Source organism: Homo sapiens, chromosome 2, assembly GCF_000001405.40.
Source record: "Homo sapiens chromosome 2, GRCh38.p14 Primary Assembly".
Classification (NCBI taxonomy): Eukaryota; Metazoa; Chordata; class Mammalia; order Primates; family Hominidae; genus Homo; species Homo sapiens.
Genome location: NC_000002.12, coordinates 88277640 through 88285418, shown reverse-complemented (window position 1 = coordinate 88285418; position 7779 = coordinate 88277640). Strand labels below are relative to the sequence as shown.

Genomic DNA, 7779 nt, shown 5'->3' with positions numbered 1-7779 from the left:
CCCTGGAAATCCTGGCCTTCTCTTGATTCCACCTGTCCATTGAGGCCAGACCACTCTTTAGAAGGCCAGATAATAAAAGGTTCAACAGTGGACTCCAGGGTCAGTCAGCATGAGTTTAAATTTCCTCCCACCCTTATCTACTATGGGTAAGTACTTAACCCTTTCTAAGCCTTAGTGTCCTCATCTGTACAATGGGGATCTTATAGGACTGCTAGGATTCAAGGAGAGAAAGCAAGTCATGCCCTTAGCATAGTGTCTGGGGGAACAGTGAACATTCAAACAGCAGCAATTTTTATTATATGAAATCTGGGTGGATTAGGTAAATTCTGTAGCAGGAGGCCCCCAGGCCCCAGTCTGCCATCTGCTCTTCTCCCTATACTCCTTTTTGTAGGATTCATGCTTCCTTGCTCTCCTGAAGGTCAGTGTGCCCTTGGACTTGTGTGCTCAGCAGCAGGCAGAGCAGAAGAGCTGCCTAAGAAACTAGTGGCAACCAAGGGCTCCCGGCATTCGGACTCCAAAATCTTCCCCTTTCACCTTTGGTTGGCAGGCAGGAGGCAAAGCGAAAACACGAGAGGCAGTGGGTGCCTTCCTTCTGGCACAGGGGAGAATGGAGAACATCAAAGCCTAGCTCTGCCAGTGACTTGGCCAAACTCGGTACAGGTGGAGTGGCAAGATGCATGCTTTGCCCCTGCTATTGATGGTGGCCTGGGAAGCCACGTGAGAAGGCGCCAAGTCCCCAGCAACAGCACTCATCTCCCCTCCCCTCCCCACCTCTGCCTCCTCTTCTCCCTGCCCCGAAAAAAGTTCTCGCCTGCCTCCTTCTTGGTTGTTAGAGTTTACCTGGGGTTTCCCCTTGCCCCAGACACCGCAGCCACTCCTGCACCACCTGGGAGATAGAGTCTCACCAAAGCCGGGTTGGGGCCCCTTCCAGGTGCAAAACCAGTAATCGGGCCTGCCTGGGGGCAGGCGGCAGCTGCGGATTGGCAGGTTGGGCGGCCCGACCCGCGAACAGCCGGATCCCGCCCAAACGTGGCTGGAGCTGCGGGCCGCTGGGGGCCACATCAAATGCCGTGAGTCCCTGGGGTTGTGTTCGGGGCGCTGGGCCCCGGGGAGCACAGGGCCAGGCGGAGGCGGAGGGGCCGACGCCTGGTCGACCTGCCTATTTCTGGTTCCCTGGAGGATAAGAGACAACTCCTCTATAAAGACAGTGGTCGCCTTCATCTTCCCGCGGAGCCGCAGTCCAGTCATCCTCCGTGGCTTGGAGAGGCTGCCGGGCGTCTGGGCTGCAGGCGCCCCCAGGGAGTGGCTGGGCACCTGACGACAGAAAGGGTTGAATGACGGCGACGTGACCGCTGTGATTACGAAGATGCCAACATCCGCGAAGATGCTGGCACCCGAACCCCGCAGCGGCCCAGGCAGGCACAAGGCTTCCCTGGAGGAGGATTGAGGCTCTCAGTCCCAGCCCTGTCGTTCTGGGCTGGACAGAGGGATGGTCATTTGCCCCCAGGAGCATTGGAGCAGGAGGGAGCAGCTGGGCTCCCGGGCACGCTTTTTCCTAGGGGGTGACTGGGGGAGAGGCTGGGCCGCAGAAAGGGGTACTGAGGGGCTGCTAAGGCAGGTTACGGGGGTGGGGGCTCAAGACACCCCCGCAGCTGACTTCTGGAAAAAAGACAACCTCGAAAAGCAAGGGCGGGGATAAAAGAATGGCTAAGAAGAAACAAAGATGAAGAAAACAGCAAGCAAACCAAAGACAATGGGGAAAGAGGGGCAGAACCAAGGAGACCAAAACCAGAATTCTCAAATCTAAAGTGGTTTAGGCCGGGCGCGGTGACTTACGCCTGTAATCCCAGCACTTTGCGAGGCCAAGGCAGGTGGATCACTTGAGGTCAGGAGTTTGAGACCAGCCTGACCAATATGATGAAACCCCGTCTCTACTAAAATACAAAAACTAGCCGGGCGTGCTGGTGAGCGCCTGTAATCTCAGCTACTCGGGAACTGAGGCAGGAGAATCTCTCGAACCAGGGAGGCAGAGGTTGCAGTGAGTGGAGATCGTGCCGTTTCACTCCAGCCTGGGAAACAAGAGAGAAATTTCGTCTCAAAAAAAAAAAAAAAAAAAAAGTGGTTTGATGCAATACAGTAGCTCTGAAAGTACAGCCCTGGACCAGCAGCATCGGCATCCCTGGGAGCTTACCAGAAATGCAAACCCACTGAATCAGAAACTCTGGGAGTGGGCCCAGCAATGTGTTTCAGCAAGTCCTCCAGGCGATTCTGATGCTGTCTCAAGTTTGAGAACCACAGGTGTAAAGGAAGGGGCACTGGCCTGAGGGCTGGGAAACTGGGTCCCTCCGTTTTCCCATCATTGAAGGGAAGGGTGGGACTAGATCTGGGGACACGCAGGCAGAGCACACAGAATGAGGTGGGCCAGGTAGGTAATGTCACGGCCCCGAGGGCCTGCACTTTGCGCCAGCCAGTTGTTGCCTGGCTTGAGTTTGGGCCGATGCTACCATGTTATCTGATTTTGCAAGAGAAACTGGAAACCTGGATTTTTAAAATGTGAAATCTCCTGTTTTTTCAAATGTTGGCAACTAATTAAACATTTTTAAAATACTGTTTGGGTCCTCACTACAGGCCAAGCAAGACACACTTGCAGCCTGGATTTGCCCTGTGGGTCCCTATTCATGTTCTTTAGACTCCAGGATCTCAATAGATTCTGAAAGAGCCTGTGATCCTGACATACAAATGTAGCCGCTGCCCTGACATGGAAGAGTAGGGCTCCCCTGAAAATATTATTAGGAGAGAAAGTTGTTTGTTTGTTTTGAGACGGAGTCTTGCTCTGTCACCCAGACTGGAGTGCAGTGGTGTGATCTCGGCTTACTGCAAGCTCCGCCTCCCGGCTTCACACCATTCTCCCGCTTCAGCCTCCTGAGTAGCTGGGACTACAGGCGCCCGCCACCACGCCTGGCTAATTTTGTTTTTGCATTTTTATTAGAGACCCGTGTTAGACAGGATGCTCTCGATCTAGGAAAGAAAGTTTTTATAACACTTCATAGTTAATCATTTGAACCCAGGAGGTGGAGGTCGCAGTGATGGAGCTGAGATCGCGCCACTGCACTGCAGCCTCAGTGAAAGAATGAGACTCCATCTCAAAAAAAGAAAAATTTAAAAAAAAGAACAACTCATAGTCACACAAAAATATTATTGTTCCTTTAATTCCTTCTTTGCTGTTCTCTATTATCCTCCTACTATGGGAGTCCCAGTGTTCTCACTATAACTTAGACCTAAAAAATGCTGACCCACAGAAACATTAAGCAACTTGCTCAAAGTCATCTGCCAGATCCAGCCTGTGTTCTGCCTTCTCTCCAACCACAACTTCCTTGTTAAGGCCCACTCTAAAAACAGCTAGTGTTTATCAAGTGTTTTTTCTGTGGGCCAGACATAGTTCTATGTGCTCTACATGTATTACTCTTTTAATCCGACAACAACCTGATGCAATAGGCATGGCTATTGTCTCCTGTTTATAGATGATGAAACAGAAGCCCAGACAGGTCAAGTTACTTGCCCAAGGTTACCCAGCTTGCATTGCAGTAAGTGGCCAAGCTGGGATTCGAACCCAGGCAGCCCTGCTATCTTCAGAGCACATTGCTTTACCATATCCCCTGCTCTCAATGAGAAGCCTTATCCTACCCCACCCAGATGGGGTCCCTAGGAATGGGGCATAAGGGGTCTGTGCTGATGGAGCAGAGCAGGCTCAGTGCACATGGGGCTGTGACCTATCCAGGTTGGCCCCTCTGCAACATGCCCTCTAATGTAGTCAGTGGGGCTTAAGCTGTCACAGAGTTTGACAGCTTTAACAAAGGAGGTGTCATCCAGAGAAGATGAAAGAGCAGAGCTGTTTATCTGAGGATTAGAGCCTTAAGAAATGTCTGTAACTCTGCAGGCTGCATTTCTGCATCTTATCCTTCTTGTTCCTGATAATGTTCTCCGGGCTTTCGAGCTAAGACTGCCCGGTAATCTAATTTAATGTTACAAGGCTTTCTAGGTAGGAGAGTTGCCTCTCTACGTGTGGCATTTATTCTTAAGTGCTCCAGAATGAAAGAGCACTGAAAAAGGAGTCAGGAGACATGAATCCTAGGCCCAGCCTTATAAACAATTGACTGTAAGACCTGGGGAAACTTATTTTACCTTTCTGGATTCCAGATGCTTCCTTTCCTGTGTTGTCCAAAATGGTAGCCACTCACCACATGTAGCTAGATTAAAAATTCAATATCTCAGTTGTTCTAGCTACATTCTCTGTGCTAAATAGCCACATGTGGCTAGTGGATGTCATATTGGATGGTGCAGATGTGTAACATCTGTCATTGCAAAAGTTTTATGCTTGTGATTGAATTAATCCTAAAGGCTTTGACCATGTAAATTCTACTTTTTGTTTGTTTCTGATGCATAAGCAGTCACTACTCACTATCTGCAAAATATTCGATGGGGATGGCTAATCTCCACCAGTTGGTGGGGTGCTGTGAGCTAGCCACAGTCTAGGCTAGTCACTTCACCTTGTGGATAAAAGGTAGGAACTAGAAAGACCTCCAGTCAGAATTAGTGATGCAGCTTTTGACCATGTACATTCCTATTCTATGTATCCCATTGGCCCATAAAGAAAGTGAACCCTGGATCACGTTATTTGGGGGTAAAGGAAATAATATTGTTGCAACTTTAAGAACTCTTAACAGCCTGCCCCTAACCTGGTGTTGTAATGAAAACATTGGAGGGGCACCATCAAATAATGGTAGAATCTAATATTTATCCAGCACTTAGGCACTGTCCGAAGCACTGAACATGCTTAACTCATAACCCTTTAGCAATGTTATAAGATGGGCACTATTATCCCCACTTTACAGAGGAGGAAGCTGAGGTACAGAGATGTTCAGCAGTGCACTGTGTTACACGGCTAATAAGTGCTGGAGCTGGGATTAGGGCTGCCAGATAAAACACGACACTGAGATTGTACTGGGTATCCTGTACTTTTATTTGCTAAATTGGCAACCCCAGATGTGCTACAAGTCCAGGTATCCTGGCTCCAGTCTGTACTCTTAATGCCTCTGTTTTTCTGCCTCTTAAGGTGGGCCAGGCACAGTGGCTCATGCCTGTAATCCCAGCACTGTGGGAGGCCGAGGCGGGCAGATCACAAGGTCAAGAGATCAAGATCATCCTGGCCAGCATGGTAAAACCCCGTCTCTACTAAAAATGCAAGAATTAGCTAGGCGTGGTGGCGTGCACCTGTAGTCTCAGCTACTCAGGAAGCTGAGGCAGAAGAATCACTTGAGCCCGGGAGGCATAGGGTTGCGGTGAGCCAATATTGCACCACTGCACTTCCATCTGGTGACAGAGCTAGACTCTGTCTCAAAAAAAAAAAAAAAAAAAAAGGTGATTTGGGATGCTATCTTCTAAGACGCAAGACAGCACCTCTTGGAACTATGCAGTACCCCCTCAGTGCCACCTCCAAATCCTCATACTCAGGCAAAATAATCAACCAGAGGGCAAATAATCTGAAAGTACACGATTTCTACAAACTGACACATTACAGATGCTCTGCAAGAGGATCCAGCCTTCCTCTCCTGAAGCATGAGCCCTGCTTCACCCCTAGATGAGTGGGTGCCTTTATTCCCAGAACTCCGCCCACTACCCAGTAGAAGCCCCCTCAACACCAGCTTTAACATTGGACTCAAAGTCAGGCTGGTTCATGAGAATACGTGGGGCTTATATTTTAAAACAGTTTCATGAGATCTGCTAGATTTGAATCCCCAGGGGTGGGGATAGCGGGATCTATATTTTTAAAAATCTTCCCAGGTAGTTCTATTGGGTACCCGAGTTTGATGACCGCAGTTCAAAGGTGCTGCTTGGAGCGTCTGCCTAATCTCAGGAACTTTTCCATCCTCTTAGGGCCTAATCTACATCACATTCCACATACCCCTGTCCCCAGTGCCTACTGCCTACCCTGTTACCCTGAATCTCTGAATCCCTTCTAGTTTCTTCTACTCTTGACTATTTCCATTTTTTTTTTTTTTTGAGGCAGAGTCTCGCTCTGTCACCCAGGCTGTAGTGCAGTGGCATGGTCTCGGCTTACTGCAACCTCCCCTTCCCAGGTTCAAGCCATTCTTCCTGCCTCAGCCTCCCAAGTAGCTGGGATTATAGGGATCTGCCACCATACCCGGCTAATTTTTGTATTTTTAGTAGAGACAGGGTTTTGCCATGTTGGCCAGGCTGGTCTCGAACTCCTGACCTCAGGTGATCCACCCAACTCAGCCTCCCAAAGTGCTGGGATTATAGGCGTAAGCCACCACACCCGGCCCATTCACTCTTATTTATTCATCCCACCGTATAGCTGGATCCTCTCCAGCCTGTATCTCCTATGAATTGGCTTCTATGTAGTCAAATTTCTGGCCCATCGCTATACAGGCATACCTCAGAGCTATTCCAAGATTGATTCCAGACCACCATAATAAAGGGAATATCACTATAAAATGAGTCGCACACATTTTTTGGTTTCCCAGTGCATATAAAAATTATGTTTATACTATAGCGTAGTCTATTAAGTGTGCAATAACATCATGTCTAAAATAACAATGTACATACCTTAATTAAAAATACTCTATTGTGGGTTGGGTGAGGTGGTTAAGGTCTGTAATCTCAGCACTTTGAGAGACCAAGGAAGGAGGACTGCTTGAGCCCAGGAGCTCAAGACCAGCATGAGCAACAAAGCGAGACCCCCATCTCTACAATAATAATAATAACAAAATACTTTACCGCAAAAATGCTAATATCATCTGAGACTTCAGCAGGTTGTAATCTTTTTTGCTGGTGGAGGGTCTTGCCTCGATGTTGTTGGCTGTTGATTGATCAAGGTGGTGATTGCTGCAGGTTGGGGTGGCTGTGGCAATTTCTCAAAATAAGACAATAAAGTTTGCTGCATTAACTGACTGACTCTTCCTTTCACGAAGGGTTTCTCTGTAACATGCAATACTGTTTGATAGCAATTTACCCACAGTAGAACTTTTTTCAAAACTGGAGTCCATCCTCTCAAACCCTGCCGCTGCTCCATCAACTAAGTTTATGTAACATTCTAAATCCTTTGTTGTCACTTCAACAGTGTTCACAGCATCTTTACCAGGAATAGCCTCCATCTCAAAAAAACACTTTCTTTGCTCATCCATAAGAAGCAACTCCTCATCCATTCGTGTTTTATCATGAGATTGCAGCAATTCAGTCAATCTTTAGGCTTCACTTTTAATTCTAGTTCTCTTGCTATTTCCATTCATCTGCAGTTACTTCCTCTACCCAAATCATGAATCTCTCAAAGTCATCCATGAGGGTTGGAATTAACTTCTTCCAAACTCATATTAACGTTAATATTTTTACCTACTCTCATGAATCATGATTTTTTTTTTTTCTTGAGTTGGAGTCTTACGCTGTCGCCCAGGCTGGAGTGCAATGGTGCGATCTCAGCTCACCACAACCTCCACCTCCCGGGTTCAGGTGATTCTCCTGCCTCAGCCTCCCGAGTAGCTGGGATTACAGGTGCCCGTCACCACACCCAGCTAATTTTTTGTATTTTTAGTGGAGACGGGGTTTCACTCTGTTGGCCAGGCTGGTCTTGAACTCCTGACCTCTGTGATCTGCCCACCTCGGCCTCCCAAGTATCATGAATATTTTTAATGGCATCTAGAATGGTAAATTCTTTCCAGAAGTTTTCAGTGTACTTTGCCCAGATCCATAAGAGAAATCACT

At 48.0% G+C, this 7779-nt stretch overlaps 1 long non-coding RNA gene across 1 annotated transcript; it reads right to left on the bottom strand.

Moving 5' to 3' along the window:
* Nucleotides 1-268: 268 nt before the first annotated feature.
* On the bottom strand, nucleotides 269-1091 carry LOC124907855 (uncharacterized). Its single transcript, XR_007087131.1, has 2 exons — nucleotides 841-1091; nucleotides 269-592 (listed from the first exon to the last, which is right to left on the bottom strand). It is a non-coding gene; the product is annotated as an uncharacterized LOC124907855 (long non-coding RNA).
* Between the last annotated feature and the right edge of the window lie 6688 nt (nucleotides 1092-7779).